The sequence below is a fragment of the Homo sapiens genome, chromosome 15 (genome assembly GCF_000001405.40).
Source record: "Homo sapiens chromosome 15, GRCh38.p14 Primary Assembly".
Lineage (NCBI taxonomy): Eukaryota > Metazoa > Chordata > Mammalia > Primates > Hominidae > Homo > Homo sapiens.
The window spans coordinates 48408080-48431806 of NC_000015.10; the positions used below are offsets into that span (position 1 = coordinate 48408080).

At 40.5% G+C, this 23727-nt stretch overlaps 1 protein-coding gene across 2 annotated transcripts in view, besides 1 other annotated feature; it reads right to left on the minus strand.

Moving 5' to 3' along the window:
- Nucleotides 234-23727, minus strand: part of FBN1 (fibrillin 1) — a 237397-nt gene continuing 213903 nt past the window's right edge. For both annotated transcript variants that reach the window (NM_000138.5, NM_001406716.1), the window contains 11 exons: nucleotides 22592-22723; nucleotides 20267-20392; nucleotides 19488-19694; nucleotides 17660-17785; nucleotides 17290-17412; nucleotides 13873-13989; nucleotides 13479-13607; nucleotides 12608-12727; nucleotides 7457-7688; nucleotides 4490-4664; nucleotides 234-3300 (listed from right to left, as the gene is read on the minus strand). In NM_000138.5, the coding sequence (NP_000129.3) occupies nucleotides 2911-3300; nucleotides 4490-4664; nucleotides 7457-7688; nucleotides 12608-12727; nucleotides 13479-13607; nucleotides 13873-13989; nucleotides 17290-17412; nucleotides 17660-17785; nucleotides 19488-19694; nucleotides 20267-20392; nucleotides 22592-22723 (1877 nt within the window). In that variant the 3' untranslated portion in view covers nucleotides 234-2910. The remainder of the gene's footprint in view (nucleotides 3301-4489; nucleotides 4665-7456; nucleotides 7689-12607; nucleotides 12728-13478; nucleotides 13608-13872; nucleotides 13990-17289; nucleotides 17413-17659; nucleotides 17786-19487; nucleotides 19695-20266; nucleotides 20393-22591; nucleotides 22724-23727) is intronic.
- Nucleotides 7661-8161: an enhancer, noted in NCBI's record as "H3K4me1 hESC enhancer chr15:48707937-48708437 (GRCh37/hg19 assembly coordinates)". NCBI's record gives its function as "activates a minimal SCP1, AML or CMV promoter by ChIP-STARR-seq in naive H9 embryonic stem cells {active_cell/tissue: H9 hESC(naive)}" and the evidence as "EXISTENCE:reporter gene assay evidence [ECO:0000049][PMID:30033119]".

Genomic DNA, 23727 nt, shown 5'->3' on the forward strand with positions numbered 1-23727 from the left:
TCTTCAGCTATAAATGTGAAACTAATATTTCTGCCAGTAATGATCTTCTAACTTTAAAAACAATGTCCTTAAATCATTTAATAATTACATTCCTAATAATTACATTTCTAATACAGTTCTCTAAGAACTACAGTTAAAACCAGAATAAAATATATTCTGTGGACCAAGTTGATGGTAATTTTAAAATCCCTAACATTTATGGGTATATAACTTTTAAGGATACTAATGCAGCATCAACCCAATTGTCCTTTATTTTGGCTCATCTAATTTACAGACATGATTTCTGAAGTTTAACAGTATTTGTAATGGCAATATCCAAAGTGATTTTGGCTGAGTAAACTGCTATTTGTTGAACAAAAATGTAGTTGTTTGTGCAAGTTTAAACATTTCACAAGGCCAGCTGAGTTCATTTCAACCCTACTTACAAAATAATTATTGGCAAATGAAATGGGCTGAGGGGGTAGAGACAAGATATTTTCAAGCTTCTGAGAGATTTACAAAGCCAAGTTCTTCAACTATTGAAAGTGAAATTGAAAGGTCACAGACAATTGAAAGGTACAGGTTTAAATCTCAGGATTAAAAAGAGTTCCAACAAGAGGAATATTTACAATGGAACAATGAGGAAAATGTTTTGTTACAGTCAGAAACATGGAAAATATGCTGTTCAAAATTGTTGGCTCAGGAATAAATAAAATCCAGACTTGGACTATTAAAAATATCAAAGTGATCCACTGTGTGCCAACTCCATTTTCCCCTGTTGTTTGTTATAAAGAAAATCCGTTATTGAATATAATGCAGTTCTGGTTAAATTATCAAAGACATTTTCCATATGCAAACTGTTGTTTACCATATGCTATATATTCTTCGATAACAATTTTAATACACCTCTATCACATGGTTCCATAGGTGCAGCGTTAGAAGGAAATTTTGAGTTATATTTTAATCTCTTACCCAAGGTACAAACCCCCTTTGTAACAGCCATTCAGCTCATTCTGTTGAGCACCTATTATAAACAAAATTAGAGATACAAAAATACCTTTAAGATGTTAATGGCCTGTTAGGTGGAAGAAAGCATCTTTGTCCAATGGTTGCCATTAAGCCTAGACTGAAACTCTTCTATCTTGTGACAGGGAGCTCACCACAATGCAAGGAAACCCATTCTTTCAGTGAGTAGCTCTATAATTGGGACCGTGTGTATTAAACTGGGGCTGACATCAGCTGACCCTGGTTTTGCCTTCCGGAATAGTATGAGCCAAATCTACTCCATTTTTTTCAGCTGAGCTCTTCAAAGATTTTTGAGAGCACTTTCCTGTGTCCTACCTAGTTTCTCCGCCCACCACCTTCATGCCATCTTATTTCCTCTTATTTTCACTACCACGAAATGCTTTCCTGCCCTTAGGGATTTAAAAAATTATTTCATATCGACGGATTGAGCCTAACAGCTAAATACTCAATATTGCACTTAAAATAAAACAGACTTTAAAAATTATGACATTAAGAAACCAAAAGTTACAGCAATTGGATACAGTCTGGGATTATCCCTTTGTAATTAGATGAGCATTGACTAACGAAAGATGTTTAGGGGAAAAAAAAATGGAACAGAACACCTAAGGCTTGCCAAAACTGTGTATATTTGAGAGGGGGGCATGATAAATCTATTATAATGAAATTCATGTGCTCTAAGACAATGACTGAACTTGGTATTTAAGACTATTTAAAAGTCACAAGATGAATTAGGTCATGTTTCAGAAATGACTCTACAATCTAAATTTCTCACAAGCAAGTCAGGTTAATGACACCAGACTCTGCTACTTTCAATGGATAAAACAAGGGATCGACTCATATGTTAAATTTTCTTCTAGTGGTTATACATTTGGTACTTTCATAAGCCATAAGTAAGAGACCCAGGATAATTTAAATCCAGGAGACTTTATTTAGCCTCCGGAATGGCCCCTCCAACCCCAAATCCATGCAAGAACACAAAGCCAAGGGGTAAACTAAAAAAAAGAAGAGATTGTTTTATTGTGACATTTATGACATTGACCCCTTGTTGACAGGAATGACCGAGGGTAATCTTGGCATATTGCACATGCTGTGATGAAGGATGCACTGGTGATCCTCTGGCCACTGAGGCTGTTTCCTGGTCCTCCCAGACCTCTATGCACGTGTGGGCCAGTCACCGAAATTTCATTACCACTTGGTGTATACATTTAACAAGTCTTTGGTCTTAATAAGCACCATTACAAACCCTCACATTAAGGGCATTATTATTCTAGTTTATAAATGTTTCAATGATAAAAAATAGCACGATTACAGTATACACACACTTAATTTACATGTAATGTATTATACTCATAACTGAGATAAGCTACTGAACTAACTTTGGTTGATTGAAATTAATGAAGTATTGGAACTGAATACTTGTAATTTGGTTTCTAAGTTGTGTACATATTACAGTGCATTTATAAATCTAGTTTGAAAATTTACTAGCACCAAATAGGTACCATAAATGGACAACCTAGTACTTGTATTTGGAGAAGCAAAGTTTACAAATTTGCAAAAAATAGAGTAGTCCATCAATTGAAAGCACATTCCCGTACGTTTGCTGGAAGGATGGCATGTCAGCATAAATGGCCAACCCCCAATGGAAATACACGTCCCAGTTTTCAAGAATCAACACATATGACAAGGTAGCTTAGCTACACACATGAGAAGCCTGAGAAAGTGGTTGTTTTGAACTAGGGTAGTCACCTGTACCTTGCTTTGGTAATACAAAGAATAGTGCTTATTTATACAAATTTACTTGGTGAAAGATTGTACCTATGATATGATGATTCTGATTGGGGGAAAATATAGTTCTACCTATCTATATTTGTTTTTCTTTTAATTATTTGGTCTCTGGATGGTGAATTAATGAAGCAAAACCTGGATTTTCATCTTCAGATTATCACCCAGTTCACCACTGAGGTAGTCTTTGTCATATTTGTCTTCTAGTTGGTTAAGTTCTTTCTTTTTATAAAGTGGAGTACTACTGATTTGTAATGAATAGGTTCCAGCCACTGGCTTCTTCTTTGTGAAGTGGAGGTAGCTGATCCCTTCCTTTTGGTTGATTTTAAAGAAGCCATCTTCATTTCCAGATTCGATCAAGTATCTGTTGTGATTCGTCAGAGTTGTAAGAGCTGGAAGGAGTTCTAGGATTCGAACCTTGTTACTGACGTGGGAAATATTGAAAGCAAAGATGGCTGTCTTCTCAACATCCCAACTTGCAAGACTCACATTGGCTTCTGTCTCAGACTGATCCTGGAAAGACACATGGCAATATGTTAAATACAATGTACATATGCCACTTAGCTCTCATATTAAAGAAAAAATGACTCAAATTTCACACTAATACAATTTTCTGCCTTATGCTGCATACACAATATTGAAAGCATTTTGTTTAGACCACAAGTGTATTAAATTGGCACATATTTGTAATATTTGAAAATATTAACTGATGTCAGGAAGAAAGGCAGGTTGAAATCATTTGTATCTGGAGGTCTCAAAATGTAGTCCCTGAACAAGCTGCATCAGCATCACCTGGGAATCTGTTAGAAATGCAAATTCTCGGCATCACCCCAGAACTACTGAATCAGAAACCCTGGGATGTCTCCCAACAATCAATTTTAACAAGACCTAGTAGGTGATTCAGATGCATGCTAAAGTTTGAGAACCACTGTTTTAATAGATTATGTTCTTTCCAAAGACTTATCTCATTTCTTAAATGACAGCAGATGGGTTGCAGCACCAATACGAAGAACCAGACTATTTCAATTTGATTCATTGACGTAAAACCATCTTCTCCTAAGGACACACCTATGAGCCTACTTCCTGACTGTGATGATCTGCTAATATTCAATGCTTTTCACCTGGCTTCTTACTTGCCTCTCTGGGACCACATGTGCTGGATTCTATGGGCCCAGAGCCAGAGGTCTGGGTGAATATCTGTGCACTTCTGAGTTGACTGAAAGGCTGCAGCAGCCGTAGGCAAAGGAAACCAGGCTGCTTCAGCTCCACGTTATTTTTGTCTACAATCCAAGTTCCCTCACACTCCACATGGCTCTTTTCAGTAGAGGAGCCTCTAGCTTTCAGAACTTGGCATTCCTATGTAGGGAGCACTATGTCACTTCGCTATTCTGCCCACTTGCTGTCCTGGATCTCAGACCTTATCCTTTCAGCAGACTTTGGGTGGGTATTTGACTTTTTTTTGGCGAGACAGAGGAAATGAGCAAGTATGTGAAAACCTTCAAATGGCCACTCCCGAAAAGCAGCAAGAAACTCCAGAAAGCCCCACAGCCTCTTGTAAAATACAGCCTAGAGCTCAGGGAATGTCTGGAGTTTCTCCCTGGGGAGCTTTTTCACACTTTGGAGCATCCTTGGAGGAAACCACAGGAATCTGGAAGGGCTTTCCACCACAGGAGACATCAGGAGAAACTAACTTCTGACCCACCTCGATATTGGAGGCATCAGTTTCGTTTGTGCTTCTCCGTTTCCTGCCCCGTTTGGGGTAGCCATTGATCTTACACTCGTAACAAGCCTCTGGGGAGAGTGAATTGTCATCCATTTCACCACTGACAGGTGGCTCTGGGTTTCCTCGGCCCATGCCCATTCCAGAAACACAGTGCCTGCAGCAGAAGGGGAGCATAGATGTTTTTCATTAGAATGGGAAGACAAGGTAGGTGGTACAAGAGTTCTGGTGAAGCCTGTTCCTTGCAGTTGTGAGATACAGCCCTTGCTTGTCCACTGGAGGATCAGCTAGTTCTGAGAACTACATTGAGGTCCTCTGTTTGGCCTCTAATTCCCAGTTCCCTGAATGTATTGATTTCCTTCTACTGCCTATCAAGACCCTGTCTTGGATATTTATTTATCTCTTCATTCCCAAACCTAACATGGAAAGCATTTTGCAGTACTTATACTGGGGAGGAGACACAGAGTGGAAACAAGAGAATAGTAGATGAGGGAGGCCATGTAACTTGGGAGGCTAAATAAAAATGGCTTCTTTTTATGAAACAGGCTCCATGGGAGTGAGCAAGGTGTGAGACATCACTGTTGAGTTTCTTGCATTCTCCCACTTCCATCATTACTTTTCCTCACTCAAGCTTTGGAGCAATTGCTCCTATTCCTTGACGTTTCACTTTTGCTTATGCTACTGAGGATAAGAAGAAAGCTCCGGTTGATAATGAAGGTTAATTTAATAATAAACTATGAAGATATGCCGTATATAAAATGCATGTATCAGAGTTTGCCCAACTGTGGGAAACTGTTTCAAGTCATTCAAAACCACTAGGGCCACTGGCTCCGACTCATGTGAAGATGGATAAACAAACCCATGCCCAAGAGAGAACTCGTTCAGCTGTTTTTCTTTGCCTTTCAGTTATCAAAGCCAAGTTACGGAGGGAGGCTCGAATGTTTCACAAGTACCTTGTTTTGTTATTCTGCTTACTATTTCAGAGGCCACTTGGAATGTGTATTTATCAAGCTCCTCTTTCCAAATGTGTTGAAACATTTGAATGGTCCTTAAAAGAATCTTTATTTGGGGGCAGAGTCCATTCTAGTGATTCGGAGAGGCCAAAACTGTTTTAAATGGGTAGATTTCTAACAATGGGTCATAATATAGACCAAAAATTATTTATCTGTTTTTCTGTAATAGCTGATCTGCTCTTTAGAACTAATTTTCCTATATACCCTTAGGATTCAAAATATGTTGCCAATGAACAGAATATCTGTTGTATTTCAAAGCAGTTTATAGGTTCCTACTGTTTCCCCCAATCTTGCCAGAGTCCAATACATTTCCTTTCCTCTTTATCTTGCAACATGAAATATGTAGAAACAATACAATGGATGAAGTGATAAATGCTCATCCTGTGGGTGTGTGCGCATGCGTATACATTCACACAATGATTAAATTATTAGGAGGTAAACTGCAAATTTGCAGGCTTTGGTTCCTTTCTCAGAACTCCTTTCCAGTATTTTCATATCCCGGGAGCACCACTTATAAGAAGTGTGACTACAAAATCCCACTGGCCAAAAGCCAGTTTAGAGTGTCACAATTTTTGCTGGGAAGAAATGGTTCTGGCATTAAACTATAAAGAATGAGTCTACTGAGAGCCAGACACAAACATCTGGGAATTTGTGTCTGATTGCTGGCATTCTGTGTGCTTCCCACGAAACATTCTTCTACCTACCCAGATCCAAAATGAATCACTTGATGTTTGTATGTCAAGAAATCAAAGACTGCTACATTAATAATTTGGTATAAGTGTGGATGTGTGTGGGGGTGTGTGTGTACACGCATGTGGAGGAGTACATAATGTATATATATATTTAATGTCTATGTGTTCCTAATTAAAAAGTTAAAATGTGCACTTCCTCTCAGGATAGCTAAAACTAGGTGGACACCCGAGTCCAGATTAATTCAGCAGGAAAAAAGATCCAAACTTTGAAAACTTAACACTAAACTTTTAAATCACTGGGTAAAATAAAAATAGGCCTTCCCGGCCGGGTACAGTGGCTCTCGCCTGTAATCTCAGCACTTTGGGAGGTCAAGACGGGCAGATCACGAGGTCCGGAGATCGAGACCATCCTGGCTAACACGGTGAAACCCCGTTTCTATTAAAAATACAAAAAATTAGCCGGGCGTGGTGGCGGGCACCTGTAGTCCCAGCTACTCCAGAGGCTGAGGCAGGAGAATCGCGTGAACCCGGGAGGCAGAGCTTGCAGTGAGCTGAGATTGCACCACTGCACTCCAGCCTGGGCGACAGAGCAAGACTCCGTCTAAAAAAAAAAAAAAAAGGCCTTCCCTGCCCCAACTCTCACACAGACACACCTATAATTTGGTGAAGTGTTTTTTTTGTTTTTCTTTTTTTAACCAGGAAAATACAGTAAGTGTTTCAATGCACCTTTGGTAAAATTTAATGTAAATTCAAGTCTGAAATGTAAAATATAATTTAAAACCCTAAATAATTTTCAACCCAAAGGGATGTCTTTGACTTATTCTAACAGGAGCTAGATACAAAGGCATTTTAAGTCCAGATAGAATCCTCCCTGCCCCAGGAGAAGAGTGGATCAGTCGTGTGCAGGGTGAGCCCAGTTCTGTCATGGGTTGGCAGAGAGGTGTATTTACAGAGAGATGAATCACTTCCCAACAAGATGTGAAGATCAAGAGAATAAGATAGAGAAGTCATATAGCGAGATATTTACAATGTAGTTTCATTACTTTGTTTGACGTTTCCAGAAATCCAGATGCTTCCTTCCAAATAAAATAACCTAAAACTTTTGCCAAGCTAACTGGAATTAATTTTAGGATTACAAAAAGCATGGTTCTCCTCTGCTAGGACAGGTAATTTTGAGTTCAGTATACTTAATTATATTACGAATGAAAGAATCTCCAACCATGACCAGGAAGAGCACTGCTTACCCTTGGCCTATGCGGAAGTAACCAGGTGGACAGCCACACAGGTAACCGCCCTCGGTATTGGAACAGCCATAGCTGCAGGGGGCCTGCGCAGAGCCACATTCATTGATGTCTTGGCATCCTCCACTGAACTGTTCATACTGGAAGCCGGCGGGACACATGCACTTGTAGCTCCCCAGGGTGTTGTGACAGGAGGCTCCTCCGCAGATGTGAGCGCTGAGGCATTCGTTTTCATCTGCAGGCAAAATAAGAAGCGGCATGTGTGGCAGCAGCCAGAGATTTCTATTGAGGACATTGGATCTGGCCACTTGCTGCCGGCCAGCTGGCCCTCAGCTAGGCTCTCAGGAAGGTAAGACAGGCAGAGGTGGCTGGGTGGGGAGAGCAACAGCAGAGAAAGATGCGGGCATGGATGTGGCTTCTTGCTATGTTGTGAGTAAACATGGAAGATGAAACATGGAAGATGAAGTCAAATGCACCAGGCAGAGGGCATTAGAGGATGGCATTCTGAGGACCAGCAGACTCCAGTTCTCATCAGAAGTCAACACTGGTATCTTCTGCTCCATGTAAACATCCGGTCATGAACCAACATGGGGCTGGTCCGTAGCTAAGATTTAGGGTTCAAGGGGGGAGGAAAGGAATCTTGCAGTTCTCTGCGTACTTGCTTCACAAGTGCCCAGCGAGGAGACAAATCTCTCAAAAGCAGAGACCAACCATTTTCCCGCAGGCTGCTTTCCCTGTCAGCCTATTTCAGGATATGCTGATCTGGCAAAGGCTGATATCCTGCCCCAAGTGTCTGCCCCACGTGTCTGCCCCACTTGGACTTCCTTTTCAAAATTCTGCAAAAGCCCCCAGGTACCTGTTCTGGGAGATGAATAATGCCTTCTGGTATGTCTGCTCCCATCACCGAATCGGCCCCCTCCTTATTCAAACCAGCCTCCTGCCCAGAGTGTCTGAGCCCTGTCTAAAACTAAGTGTGGCTGGAAGAGATTTGGTGCAGACTTCACAAGCAGTAATTGGGGAAAACCCACAAGTGAGACAGAAGCTGCAGGGCTGGCTACCCACAGGGACCTGCCAAGTCTGATGCTAAGAAGCAGGAAAAAGAAATCTTACTTTAAAAAAATCAGCTAGAAGGGGGAAAACCATGAGTTTCTCATTATTTCTGATTTATAATTTTTGGAAGTCTCTAATATATTTTTGTAGATCTGCCTTTGCAGGGCAGGTTGGAAAGTTGCTGGTAAGACATTTCTTAACTGCCATAGTCCATTTTCAGGCATACGTTCATTTGAATGTAGATAGATTGGCCTTCTCTTCACTTAGCGAATAACCACTTCCTATGGAAGAGAGGAAGGGGAAGGGAATGAATGTTTATTAGATACCTATTTTATGATAGATAGGATACAGGTATTGACCATTTCCTTAGCTTTCCTAACAATCCTGAGAAAGAGGTATTATATTCTCTGTTTTACAGCTGAAGAAAGTGAGGCTCAGAAAGCTCTTCCAAGATCTCACAGCCAGCAGCAGCAGGGCAGAAATTCACAGCCAGGTCTGTTGGACTGCAAAGGCCATCCATGCGCTTTCCTTTATACCACAGTGCCTCTCAAGAGACGCTCCACATTTAAGCTGGTGCTTCCTTTCTCCTGTAATTAGTTTACCTTCTTTGCTAAGGCACATTCATTTATAAAGAAAAATAATGTTTCTCAACAAATCTATTTTTTCTTTTTTTTTAAATTAGAAAACAGGTGGATAAAAGTGGTGGGGAAGGATGCTCACTTGTATATACTTAGTATATATTCACATTTCCTACCTGCCTGCCTGCCTGCCTTCCCTCCTTCCATGTCTCCTTCCCTCCTACCTTCTTTCCTTCTCTCCTTCCCTTTCTTCCTTCCTTCCTTCCCCCCTCCCCTCCCCTCCCTCCTTTCCTTCCTTCCTTCCTTCCTTTCCTTCCTTCCTTCCTTCTCTCCTCCCCTCCTTCCTTCTCTCTTTCCCTCCTTCCCTTCAGCTACAGGTCTTTGATCTTAACTGCCTGTCTGAAAATCTTTTGTATCCAAAGACCTTCAAGTCTTCACCCAAGGTCACTTAGGCTCCAGGGCTCTTAAAATATAAATAATAATTTTATCTTTCTCATTCTTCCCTTTCTCTTTCTGTGCTCAACACGTTATCTGTGTTCTTTCTCCTTATTTTAAATTGAGGACGAAGTGTGCAATAGAGAGCAACAGAAACCACTGGCACCAAGCTCCATGTCAAACAAAGAATGAAGAACGAAGCATATTTACTTCATTGGAGAGAACACCCCTGGGCTGATGTCTTCTTGCTCCTCCACGTCCATCCTCCATCCTCTCCACTTGCTCTTGGCCCCAGGTGGCTGATCTATGGAGCATGAGCAAGCTCTGCTCCCCTGTCCCTCACTTTTGGTTGGCCTCAGCCATCTGCTTCTTGCTGGGACCCTGACTAATAAAACCTGCAAGGCGTGGGTATATGAGGGGGAAGACTTGTCATTCTATAGCTTAGATTTATTCTGTGTTTTTTCCTCCAAAGAGCAGAAGTAGGACCAATGGTGAGAAATTAGAGGGAGGAGAAATGATTTTTTTTATAGCAAAAAAAGACATTTCTAAGTATTAAAAGCTGTCTATACATAGATTGGGCTATCTTGGGAGAAAGTGGGCACCCTTCAAGGTGGTATTTAAGCCAAACTGGGATAAGCAAGGAAGTTAGAGAAGGATTTATATATTAGGAAAGAGAGAAGGCTAGATCTCTAAGGTTCTTTTTAACTTTGAGCATCTATCTGTGTTACTACAACTATCAAGAGTTCTCCCCCTCTCCTTTCACATTCTTTTAAATTTTATTTTACATTTTCTCCCTTCCCTGAGAATTTAATAAAGTTTAAATTAAACTTGCTTATCTAGGTTGGAGAGGTAGGATGGAGTAGAGCACAGATTAAAATAAGAAATTGGCAAATATTCAGTGTTTACAGTTTGAAAACAGCATGTTTGTGCACTCGCCCTTTTTATCAATATACAAACACCACGATTTGGTTAACATGTTTTGCACTTTTCCTGACCTTTTTCATCCTCTGCACTCTGGAGCAAATGACTCCACAAGGAATTTTTTTACACTCCAAAATATTTGTTTTATTCTTCCAGTTGGTACTTAGATTGGTGAGGGTTTTGTTTGTTTTATAAAAAGAGACAATTCGAATTTTACCAAAATAGCATTAAAGTCTGAAAACTACTCCTTAAAAGTGGATTGAAACCCACCACTCTGTCCTCTAAAATCAAAGGTTTCAGCATCCAGCTTGCACTGTTCATGTTAGCTGTGGCCTTAAGGGAGTACCGATAGGAAACTTCACAAATGCAGGATGGGCTTTCTTTTACTCATTTTCTCTAGGGGAAAATGGGTCAACTCTATCTATCTGCAAGCTGAATTTTTTGAAATTTACTTCTAGAAAGCAATGAAATTAGTGGCCCTCTTACCCCAAAGAGTGAACTTCCAGCCACCTGGGAGTGAGGATCCAGGGAGGGCTGGTCTAAGAGATCTGCTCTGTTTCTTGTGGTTCTGGGGAAGCTATTTTAGCCCACGGCAATGCTCATTCTAGATAACTCTAATTCTCAAGATTGATGAGAGCAATTTGGCATTTGGAGACATTAAGAACCCCAAACTTCTTCTGACTTCTAAATCAACTTGTTTTTTTAGAGTGTCCAGCCAGGAGATGATCTTCACGAGACCAGAGCAGAATCTCCAGGACACTAGTGCATGGCCTGGTCGCCTCTACCATCCTCAGACTGATGGTAGGAGGAGGAGGATAAGGTACAGGAGCGACATACCTTTCCTCTCTTATGTTTTTTTCACTTAGCTCCAGTGTTATTAAAATGACCTAAATAATGAGAACAGACAGGCTCATAAACTGGGTGTTGAATCAACAAAGTTCACTCTGGAAGTTCTGTGAACAATGTCAGAAACTGGTGATTAAAATCAAAGACCTCCCTGAGCTGCTAATGAACAAAGACATTTTTATTAAAACCAGATAGCTAGCCAGAGACTCACGCAGTCGAAACTCCTATAGCACAGGGGTCACTTCAGTCAACCCTACATGCCACTGCAAAACTGTCTTGTGTAGAATCAAACTAGATGACAGAGATGATTTTGATAAATGAAAACACACCAAATATGTCTTCATCTGCATGAAAGTGAACCCCTGCAATGCAGAGCCTGCACCCGGGAAGCAGTAATTCTTTGAGTTTTTGCTAAGGAGGGCTCTGTACAGAATAATGTGGCAACTAGAACAGGTTACCAAAGCACCAAGCTTGCAGTGGCACTTCACAGACGCTTGCTGAATGAACATAAACAAGTGAATGTGACACTTGAAAGGCAGCTCTACATCAGAAAGTTAAGAGTTGTGGGTTCTAGTTCCAAGCATGTCACAAAAGAACTGGGCAAGGAAATATTACCGTCCCTTTCTGGACTTCTAGGTCCTTATCTGTAAAACAAAGTGCCTGAGCTAAGTGGCTTCTGGTATCCCTCCAAACTCACAATGTTTTGATTCTCTGATGTGCATTAAGAGTTATTTTCCCATGACATTGTAGAATCAAAGATGACATCATTTCAATTTAATGAGAGAGTCAGTAGATCTCCCTTAATTATCAAAAGAATTTAGCAATCTTGAAAAACAAAACAAAACAAAACAAAACACACAAAAAAACACAACCTTGCTGTGTTTCCTGCTTGCGCTCTGTCTCAAAATGTGTAGAGCTGAACAGAACTACTTTGGCATCTTCAGGCCAAAAGCCACTCAAAATAGCCTTTGGCTGGCTGATATTTTTCAGTCATAAGTAAGATTTTTTGACCCCTGATATGAACATAACTCAAGTGTGGGCTGATGACTAGCAGTGCAGCGGGAGGGTGGAGGATATTGCGCTTCAAGAAATTCTGGGGGCATTTCATTTCAGATGCTCTCAAAGCACCCTCAATTATAATTTTTTTTCTTAGTTTGCTGTTTTGCAAAGACTGTTACTTACCTCGGGTTTCAACCAGGTTAGGGCAATTTTAAATGAGTATTTGTTGCTTCAATAACACATTTACAGCTTCAGAAAGCAAGCAGTGTTTTGCTTCATAGGACCTGATAGCCATGCATCTTGAGAGTGAGGAAAAGTTACTTGCCAACACACTGGTTCCACTGGTAGTGCTGGAGGTAGCCCTGGGGGCAGCTGCACCTGTAGCCCCCAATGATGTTCTGGCAGCCATGCTGGCAGCGGTGGTTACCCTCACACTCGTCCACGTCTGAAAAAGAAGCAGAGCCACCATGATGCCAACTCAACATCTCTCTCTGAAGCCAGATGGATTCTAATAAGAAATCTGGCCCCTACACATCCTACACATTATTCTACCACCAAAAACTTCAAGAATCTCTCTTCTGGAACTGCTGCTAAGTCCAAGGAGAAAATCATTCAGAGAGCCCTGGCAAAGTCTACAAATAAAAATTGTCAGGAAATTAGTGCAAAGCCCAAAGCACTCTCTGGGACAGCTCTGTAAGTTATAAGTTATTTGTGTTTGCTCTTTTTTTTTTTTATTTTTGGTGCCACAATTAGAAACCAAAACGTGTCAAAGCCACAGTCAACTTCTAAAAATATCATTTAAACTTCTAATTAAATGTCATCAGAAGAGCTATTCCTCATATGTTTAGTCCACATGGGGGAAATCCCTTTATGGCTCTGGACCCAGTGACCAGAAAATTAATGAATCAAAATCAAGTATATTTTTCTTGACTGAGTTATTCCCTATTAGGTTAAATTAAAAACTTAGCAGAAAAAGTCTTGATATACTTAGGAAAGGCATGTGTGTTAGACACAATCAAGCATGAAACAAAACACGACTCTCTAAGATACAGGACCTGTGCACACTATTTTAGCTGAGTGCCCCCCTGGGCTCAGATCTGCTATCTCATAGAGGCTGATGATGAAGGTGCCAATAGCCACACAGGCCACCTCCACAAGGATTCACCAGCTGGATCGCAGCTGAAGTCTCCACCCACCTTCACAGCTGGAGCCGGTCTGATCAAGTGAGAATCCCCGCTGGCATTCACAGGTGAAGCTTCCAGGAGTGTTCTGGCAAATGCCCTTAGACCCGCACAGATTGATGTCAGAGGTGCATTCATTGTTATCTATGAGAAGCAGTGGGGGCAAAGAGGGGTTAAAATTCCCCAAAGCTCTCTTTGTATCATTTAAAAGAAAATTAGAAGGATAACTCGGAAAAGGCCAAATAAGGCCAACAACGCTTCACATACATGTACAGGTGTGCTCACACATACATGCACTCATATATTTCTTTGAGCTTTTATTTTCTTATCCCAACAGCAGAGGAAATAGAAAATAATCCCTTAAAAGAATCGCTACAATCCATGTAGGATTTTTTCCTCTCCTACTCACCAATGCAGGACGTATGGTGTTGGGTAAATCCGGGAGGACATTTGCATGTGAAGCCGCCAATGGTGTTAACACATAGGAACTGGCAGTTGTGTTGCTTGGTTGCACACTCATCAAGATCTACAAGAAAATGCAAGAGAGGCATTTGAGTCAAGCCAACAAAACAGGATCAGGGAAGCTGACCCTATGAAGCAGCTCCACGTTTGATTTGGAGGTCTCAAATGACCCTGACTAGAAAGAAGCCACAGCAAAAGGCAAGGAGAGACACAGGGGGTAAAGATCTGAAAGATAAAACAAGGTGTCAATTTAGACCCTCCTCCCCTCAAAAAAATATAAAGAGATCTTTAGGGGATCCAAGAAAACACAATTCTAATTGGAGAAATGCAGGAATTCCTCAACAAAGGAATTTCAAATAAATCATGACATTTTAAACAAATTTTTAAATGAAGCGAAAGATGAATGATTCTGCAAATTTTCCAGAGCTTTGAAAAGATCTATTTAAGTTAAAACATAAAGAGAAATGTTGAAGCTGGAAATGAATTTGCTGGCTTAGTTCTCTTCTGTTTGCTGTTTTTAATCTACTCAAATGAAGTCATCAAAAACAAAATCTGATTTCTTTAGTCGTGATTCTTCTTAGGATAAACCAAAATTGAGCAATCAGGAAGGAAACAAAGCAAAGGAAAAATTCATTTTAATAGCTAAAGGCACTTTTAATAAAACTGCCTCCAGGCCAAGCGTGGTGGCTCATGCCTGTATTCCCAGCACTTTGGGAGGCCAAGGCAGGCTGATCACTTTGAGCTCACGAGTTTGAGACCAGCCTGGGCAACATGGCAAAACCTGTCTCTAGTGAATATACAAAAATTAGCTGGGTGTGGTGGTGTGTGCATGTAATCCCAGCTACCTGGGAGGCAGAGGTTGCAGTGAGCTGAGATCGCACCACTGCACTCCAGCCTGGGCAACAGAGTGAAACTTCGTCTCAAAACAAAAACAAAAACAAAAACAAAAAACAAAAAACAAAAAAAACAAAAATCCAAAACTGACAACTGCCTGCAGTGTTTATCCAACATTGTTTCCCACATCTCAATAAAACCCTCTGCTTTGACCAGGCCTCTTTTCTCAACGCCTCAACTTCTAAGTTGCATTCTCAACTCCAATGTTATTTCAAAATACCAAGAGATGAAATGTTGTGTTCTAGCTTCTAGCTAAACTTTAATGATAATTTTAAAATTGTCGCATATTCAGGAAAAAACATTAGTGACTTTATTTTATCACAAATTCAACCACTATGCCCTCACCATCTGCACAACTGCTTTGGAGCTGCAGATCAGTGCCAGCTTTGCCAGTGACTGCTTCCACTCCACAGGGCCAGTTCCTGGCTAGAGTAACATCTGGAGTGGACCTACACTGAGAGACCCTCCCGAGACCTGTCCTAGTTCCGGCTTCTCTTATAATGCTGCCTGTCCTGTGCTCTTTCCACTGCTGAGATCTTGACTGATATGCACTCTCTGTTCAGCTTTCTCAGAGTCTGTGGACTGGTTTCCCCTGTCTATGGCCCAAGGAGCTTGGCTGGAGCATCATGACACATTTGCTGAAGCTCACCTGCAACAGGTGAGGAAGATGACTCAGTGATTTCTCCTAACACCATTTCATGAGTACAACACATGAAGAACAGCAGCACTTGCTGCTCTTGCCTCCAAGATGCCCTTCCTCCTCTTCTCCCCTCTAATCTGCATTCTACCCATCTCTCACTGGGGATGTGCTGCTCCCACGGCCACCCTTCTGGCTTCCTCCTTCTCAGTGACTGTGGTGCAACTATCTGCACTATTCATTTGATATTTAGTTATATATACCAAGTAAGTGGAAGAATTTGAACCTTATGGGAAAAAACAGGAAAAGGGACAAGTTGTGAGTGGACATGTAAAAATTACAGTTGCTCTTTGCACTCCTAAAGCCATAAAGAGAACTTTATTGATGCATTTTCATTTTTCATCTTTTAATTGCTGGAAACTTTTGAGAATTTTCTGCCCCCAGAGGTTAGAAAAAATGCTATAAATTTGTTTTGCTTGTTACAGATAATATATACAATGAGAGATATTTTCCCCTTGAATTTGGTTCTTCATTTATATGAATAAATTTATGGCTCTGAGTTATAGCTTCACATTGCCTAGAACTCACAGTGACCCCAGATGTAAAATAAGTTCCACATTTGAGAAGAACAAAGCTATGAGCGACTTCATTTAAGATGTTTAGAATGTGTAAGTAGGTCTCTCAACTTCCTCTCCCCAAACTACAGGATTATACAGGCTTTGTGCTGCACAGGAAGGCCTCAGGCACTTGCCCATGATGTCATCCACTATTACATGTCTCTTAACTCTCCCTTTCAGCAGACACAGGAAAGAGGTCAAGAGCCCAACTTCTCTCTGCTCTCCACTTCTCTCCTCTCCTCTCCTCCAATCTGGATCCTCCGTGGGGATGTGCTGGTCCCACCCTCCACCCTTCTAGCCTCTTCTCAGTTCAGTGGTACACACAGCTGCATCATTCATTTGATATTTAGTTATATATACCAAGTAAGTGGAAGAACTTAAGCTTTATGAGAAAAAATAGGAAAAAGACTCCACTCTATCCTTTACCTTCCTTACTTCTGTATGTTTCTATAAATTTCCTTCAAAGTTTCATGGCATGACATGATATCTCTTGCTCTACCACTTGGTCTATCTTTTCTTCTCCAAATCTCTGATTTCCCAAATTATTGTTAAGTATGACTCACTAGTGCTATTCACTAAATATAATGTTCTTATTGTGGAGGAAGATGTTTACAGGAGTAAAATTAAACCAAAAAAATTTTGCAAAGGATAACTTCTGGTTGAGAAGGGATTTCTGCCCAGAGCTTTTCTGGTTCTTAATTCTGTGTGATATTTATGTCTCAGGGAAGCTCCTACAGGGCAGAAATAGACTTTTTCTGCAGAACAAAAATCTGGACACAGCATCTAATTCATTAGGCACAATGTCCTCTACGATCATGGCACTGATTATTCCGAGGCAGGACCTTCCTGGAAACCTGAACTATATAGCTATAAAGAATAAATACAAAAAACAGAAAGCAGAGAGGAGGTCACCAATTAAGAATCTGCCCCACCAGAGCCATTGAAGCTGGCCCTGCTATCTCTGAGACAGTCATGGATGGCCACCATGGATGCCCAGGGGGCATGCAGCAAGGACAGCTGCTTCCTCCACAATCTCCCTGGCTTTAGCCTCCTTCCCTCCAGCACAGGAGGTAGGTCCCATGGAGGCATTAACCCCAGGGAAGCACCTCCTGCCTGTAGAGCAGGTCTTTCGGCTTGCCTGTGGAGTTCTTACAGGCAAAGGAATGCAGCCATGTGTCAGGAGCTAGGTGAGGGGCAATGGTCAATTCTACTTTACCTTTGCAGCTCCTTCCATCCTCTTGCAGAATGTAGCCTTTCGGGCATGAACACTGGTAACTCCCTTCTGTGTTTTTGCAGATAAAATTGCAGGGTTTGGGAGCCTGGTTGCACTCGTTCAGATCTATGATCAAAGAAATACAGCGTGACTGTGCATCTAAAAATGATGTGTACACGCTCAATTTCCACAGGGTCTAACGAAGAATTTTAGTTTCGGGGAAAGAAAAAGGAAACTCTGTGTAGACTTTGATGATTGTCCTGTGCTTTCCTATGAAACTGCACAGACTTTTTAGATTTTTAGCTTTGGGTTTTTTTTTTTCCATAATCTAAAATTTCCACTTGAGGATAAGCCATCAGAAATAGACACTTACCTACACAGGAAGTCCCAGTTATATCTGGAGTGTACCCAGTTTTACAAATGCAATGATATGATCCTCTGTCATTGACACATTCCCCATTTCGGCAAACATCGTGAATAACCTTGCATTCATCGATATCTGTAATTTAACAAATATAAATTAAGAAATATATCATAAAATTGACAACATTAATATGTAGGGGGTCACTTCAGTGTAAATACTAATAAATTGTGTTACTATATTTTGGGCCTAAGAAATTAAACCAGTAAGATGACAGCATAAATTTAATATGTAACAGTAGCTATATCAAAAGGTAAACAAATAACTTCATTAGACTACAATTGATAAAATAATTCAGCCACAGAAAAACTTTAAAAACAACTGGTCTTCTAAATGTATATTTTTCTCTTCTGGATCCATAGAACAGCCACCCCATCTAGACATATTTGGCTTTTTGTGTCATCTCATGCCATTAAGCTTGCCTCCTGCTGACATCTAATAAATGAATCACAGAAGCAGATCCTTTTGATGAGGAAACCCCATTTCCACCCCCTAGTATTGCATGCTCAAAATAAGTAAGGTTTTTTGTTTTTTGTTTTTACATTATTTTTGTTGTCTTTGTGGTTAATCCTGAAAAAGTTCAAATTACATAATATTGGGGAAATGAGATGAACTTCTGTCCTCTGGTGAGGGGGGAAACTAACCAGGGCTCTGAGGTGGATGACAGTGCTGGGTTTTTGCAGCCTGCTAAGGAAGGGAGACCCTCACTCATGGCTGTACCACAGAGAGAAAGACTGGGTCAATATGCACTGTTGAGCATTAAAACCACTGTCTTCCACATCTTGACCCATTTTACCTCCTTACTGCTTGGCGAAGTGCCGATACAAGCACTTTCTACATGGGTTCTCAGCCCTTGACTGCCAAATAACCATTTTATACCAACAGCTGGGTGTATCTGACCTTTACAAGTCTACTCTGAAGTGCAATTTAGCACACTCTTATTGGTCTCCAGAAGTGAGTTTTTTCGGCTATCTTATTGCTACATCCTCCAAAGAATCATAAATTGCTTTTGGTCACTCCATCTTACCTTTCTAGGTCTGTTTTTTCTTTTTTTTTAAATCACATCCAGTTCCATTATTCTGCCTTCAGCCACATCTTTCCAATACAAACACAAATCCTTCTTAACCTCCTTCTTCCCCTTTCACTTCTAATTCCCTCCCAAGAAGCTCAAAAAAGCTCTCACCTTTTCTCAGTCCTTTTATGAACTAAAAACCAATTGTAGTTACAGTTGATAAACACAGGAATCATATTGGTGACAGGCCTAGATATCTCTAGAGTTGCCTTAGACAGTCTGACACTTCCTCATCCTGCTCTAGTTAAGGAGCTTGTGCTTTTCCAGATGCAATTGTGTCTAATTGCCAGGATATCAGCATGATTTATACTTCTTTTATGCAATACAGTTTGGCCAGTTTTAGGAGTTCCACATCTTGGTGGACTGGTTTGCACATTTAATAATCATTTATTTCAAAGTTTATCTAAAAAATTTAAAAATTATATTCTGAGTAGCCAATTGACTTATAGTAAACGGTTTAAAAAGTTGAAGACTCGCTGGAATGCAGAGGGAGGGTCCTAAGCACACACAGCTTAATCAAGTGGACCAAGGCCACTTTGGCAGCATGACCTCAAATGTCTAAAACTCCATAATGAAGAATTTTTGTTGGCCTCAGCTGTGCAATTCAACCTAGGCACATATTGCAAACTCCATATTTTCATCTGTGTTTCACACAAAAAACAAATAAATAGATTCCCTGCAAGTATTTTTGGACTATAAATGAAGTACCTGCTCCATTGGTCATGAATCCTCGGCCATGGGGACAGAGTTTCTTGAAAGCCACAGTCCCCTGGAAAGGGCAGATCTCACAGTGGGGACCCCAGCCTCTCCCTCCGTCACAGCAGCATTCCGATTTGGTGACGGGGTTCCTGTTGCTGGAGCCGATCTGACACATGTTTTGTAGCACCTCTGTGAAGCAGTACCCTTCCCGATTGTCTGGAAGGGACATTATATGGCAAAGGGGATGTCAGGAAATTTTAAGAGCAAACAAAATATTAAAAATTTGGTCAGATATAAAAACCAAAAAAGGATGTAACACTTTACCCTGGGTGAGAAGAAGCAAGAGGGGAAAGCTGGAGACAGCAGTAAAAGAGAAAGGATGACGTCTGAGGGAAACAAATAAGACATTCAGTAAGTAGGCAGAAAGACATTGGCCTAGACAAGCTTATAACTCTCTCTGCTCCCAGAAATACAGGGGAATAGCCATGCTTACAGACAGAGGGGCAGAGAAACATACGGAAGTGGATCCTGATCACCAAGGGCTTCAAAGGCAGCCAAGAAATTCCAAACAAGTGATTCAGGATCCAATTAGCAAAGGAAGAATTTAGCTGCAGGGTGGTGCTGAGCCCAATGGACAATCACAGTCATTACGGCATCTCCAAAATATGAACATTTTTTATCCTTCCTCAGATTTTGACATTTTCTTGTATTTTAAATAAGAAGTCTGGGTTTCCAGCATCCCAGTGTGGAGGCTGAGGTTAGGAAAGTGCGGTGCCAACTGTACTCACCAAGGCACTCGTCCTGGTTGGGGCTGGCGGTAAACCCATCATTACACTCACAGGTGTAGCTCCCACGGGTGTTGAGGCAGCGCCCATTCTCACAGATCCCTGGCTTCGTCTGACATTCATTCTCATCTGTTTGATTTTATTGAAGGACCAAAAACAAGAAGAGTCATCTGACCATTTTATAGAGGATGGAGCTCCTTCCTTCGTTCCTTCCTTCCTCCCTCCCTCCTTCCCTCCCTTTGTTCCTTTCTCCTTTCCTTCCTCCCTTCCCTCCCTCTCACCTTCCTTCCCTCTCTCACATCTTTCCTTCTTAACTTAGCTTTTGAATCACTAATCTGTTCACATGGCTCAAAATTTAAAAGGTATAAAAGAGACTTCAATTCATTCTTAACTGTTTGGTTTCATTGAAAGACTGAAAACAGAAAGAGCCATCTGAATCTTTTATAGAAGAATAGATTTTCTTCTTTCCTATATAGTTTGTAAATAGCTTATCTCTTCACATGGTTCAAAATTAAAAAGGTACAAAAGGAGATTCAGCAAAAGTACCCCCTTCATTTCCTATTTCCCAGACACCAAACTCCCCTCCTGAAAAGCAACCAATTCTGGGGCCGATTTCTAATGTATCCTTCCAGAGCTGGATTATGCATATAAAAGCAAATACATACATAATATGTGTATGTGTGTGTGCACTTCAGATCTTTTAAAAGCCTAACTGATAGCATTTTATATACTTAAACATAGATGGTAGCATTTTATGCACACTTACATTTTTCACTTAGTAAAATTTAAATCTTTTCATATTAGGACATAAAAAGGACTCTCAAAGTGTTATTTCAAGTGAAGGAGGGAAAAATGTGAATATCAGCATATGAAAGAAATATTTTAATACATGTTAGAATAATATCTGTAATGGTCAATATTGATCTGGGGGAGTTTGTCTAGATTAATCTTCAGATTAACCTAGATTATATCTCCAATATAGGTTGCATTTATTGTAATATTTCAACAATATTATTAAGAAATCATAAACTACAACTCAGTTTCCCAGGTTTAAAAAAACATTAAAATATCTACAGATTCTTAGAATTATCTGATGATTATTTAGAAAGATCAAAAATAATTTGCTGAGGTGCTTCCCTTCCTTTGAGAATAGTTCAGGGTCCCTCAGATGGAGCTCTCACTAGGAAAGAGAGAAAGTTGGAAGGTGAATCCAGAACAGTGTTAAAACAGGTTCAAAACCCCAATGCAATGCCCCAGCCACCCCCAGAACAATTCAATCAGAATATCTGAGGTTGGACTTGAGCTCCCCAAATGATTCCAAAGTGCAGCAGAGGTTGAGAATTACTGATCCAGGAGGATCCAGTGTGTGACAATTAATCTACATATTTTCTGATTCTGTGCTTTTAGAATCTGTTCTTTAATTCCTGCTTCAATCTGTATTGTACAGAGTAAAAGGGCAATGGGATTCTTAATCTTCTTGAATGACAACATAAAATATATCTTTATAATACCATTTATTATTAAAAAGAAAGAGAATGCGTGTGAGAAGGTTTTAATAATTTTCTCCTGTAATTATTATCTAAGCAGAGGTCAGGAAACTTTTTGTTAGGGTCAAATAGGAAATATTTTAGGCTTTGTGGGTCATATGGTCTCAGTTGCAACCACTTAGCTCTGCCATTGTGGCATGAAAGTAGCCATGGACAATATGCAAATGAATGGTTATACCTATGTTTAATAAAACCTTATTTATAAAAACACACAGTGGGCTGGCAGGCTGGAATTAGCCTGTAGGCAGTTTGCCAACTCCTGGTCTAAGGCTGAAGTCCTCAATGTTGGATCCCTATTAGAATCAGCTGAGGAGCTTTAAAAAAATATCAGTGCCTGGATGCTACTCTAGACAAGACCAGATTTTCTGGAGGTAGATCCCAATGGTTTTGAGATATTCCTGATTCAGAGGTACCTGGCATTTGTAGCAAAGCTAAGTCAATAGGGAAGCATTCCAATGTGATGGGGAGAATTGACCCCCAAATCAACAAAAGAGTATGGAAAGTAAAGGAGGAGAATAGAGAAAAGGCATGCTGTTCAAATCCTGGCAGCAAATGGGTCAAGAAAGCAGACAAAGGCCAGATCAGAGGGACAATGACAGTGCTCTTGGAATTCACAAATGATCACGAGGCAAGGGAACCACCATGGAGAGTCCTGACATGCGGTTAAGAGAACAAAATGGGTCTCGCCAAGAACAGTATCCCAAGAACTCAGAGCCCAGGTTCCTTCTGTCCACTGTCACTTCTGATGCACTCAAAGCTCCTTCCACAGGGATCCTCTTACCTACACAGCCTTCTCCATCAGGTCTCCGCTGATACCCGGGTCCACAGATGCACATATATGTGCCAATGAGGTTCTTGCATTCCATTTGTTTTTCAGTACAGTCATGTTTTCCCTCTTCACACTCATCCTCATCTGTAAAAAATGTACAATCACAAATTTGTCAAAGAAAATGCATATATCTGCCTTAATTACCTGACTTTTAAACATAAAATGTTAGTAAGTAACCAATTTTCATCTGTTATTTCACTACTGGCTGTATTTCCTTCTGCTCTGTTGAGTATGATCTCTAAAGAATGGAAAGGAATCTTCTAACCACCTTTGAACTTGAAGAAATTGCTCCCTAATCAACTGATGACCTCTTCAAGAAGCATGATTCTGATCATGCCTTTTCTCTCTTCTCCTTCCCTTATTTTTTATTTATTTTTATTTTTATTTATTTATGTTTTTGAAAGAGTCTCTCTCTGTTGCCCAGGCTGGAGTGCAGTGGCCCGATCTCAGCTCACTTCAACCTCTGCCTCCCGGGTTCAAGTGATTCTCATACCTCAGTCTCCCAAGTATCTGGGATTACAGGCATGCACCACCACGCCTGGCTAATTTTTTTTGTATTTTTAGTAGAGATGGGGTTTCACCATGTTGTCCAGTCTGGTCTCAAACTCCTGGCCTCAAGTGATCCACCCACCTCAGCCTCCCAAAGTGCTGGGATTACAGGCATGAGCCATCGTGCCTGGCTGTCCCTTTATGTTTTATACTCCTTTGTTGAAGCATGATTTCTAATTCTTGTTGACTAATTGAACTAAAAGGGCCTCATGTAATTATAATATAATGGATATATCTTAATATAACAATAATTATAACAGCATTATAATCACAATATATGATAAGGCAATAATTATAATAGTACTACAATCATAATGGATTGTAAGAGTAACAAACCAAAGCTTACATTATGCAATAATTATAATAATAACACAATATATTATAATATGATATTATTATTTTTTTGAGATGGAGTCTCACTCCGTCATCCAGTCTGGAGTGCAGTGGCATGATCTCAGCTCACTGCAACCTCCACCTCCGGGGTTCAAGCAATTCTTCTGCCTCAGCCTCCCAAGTAGGTGAGATTACAAGAATGCGCC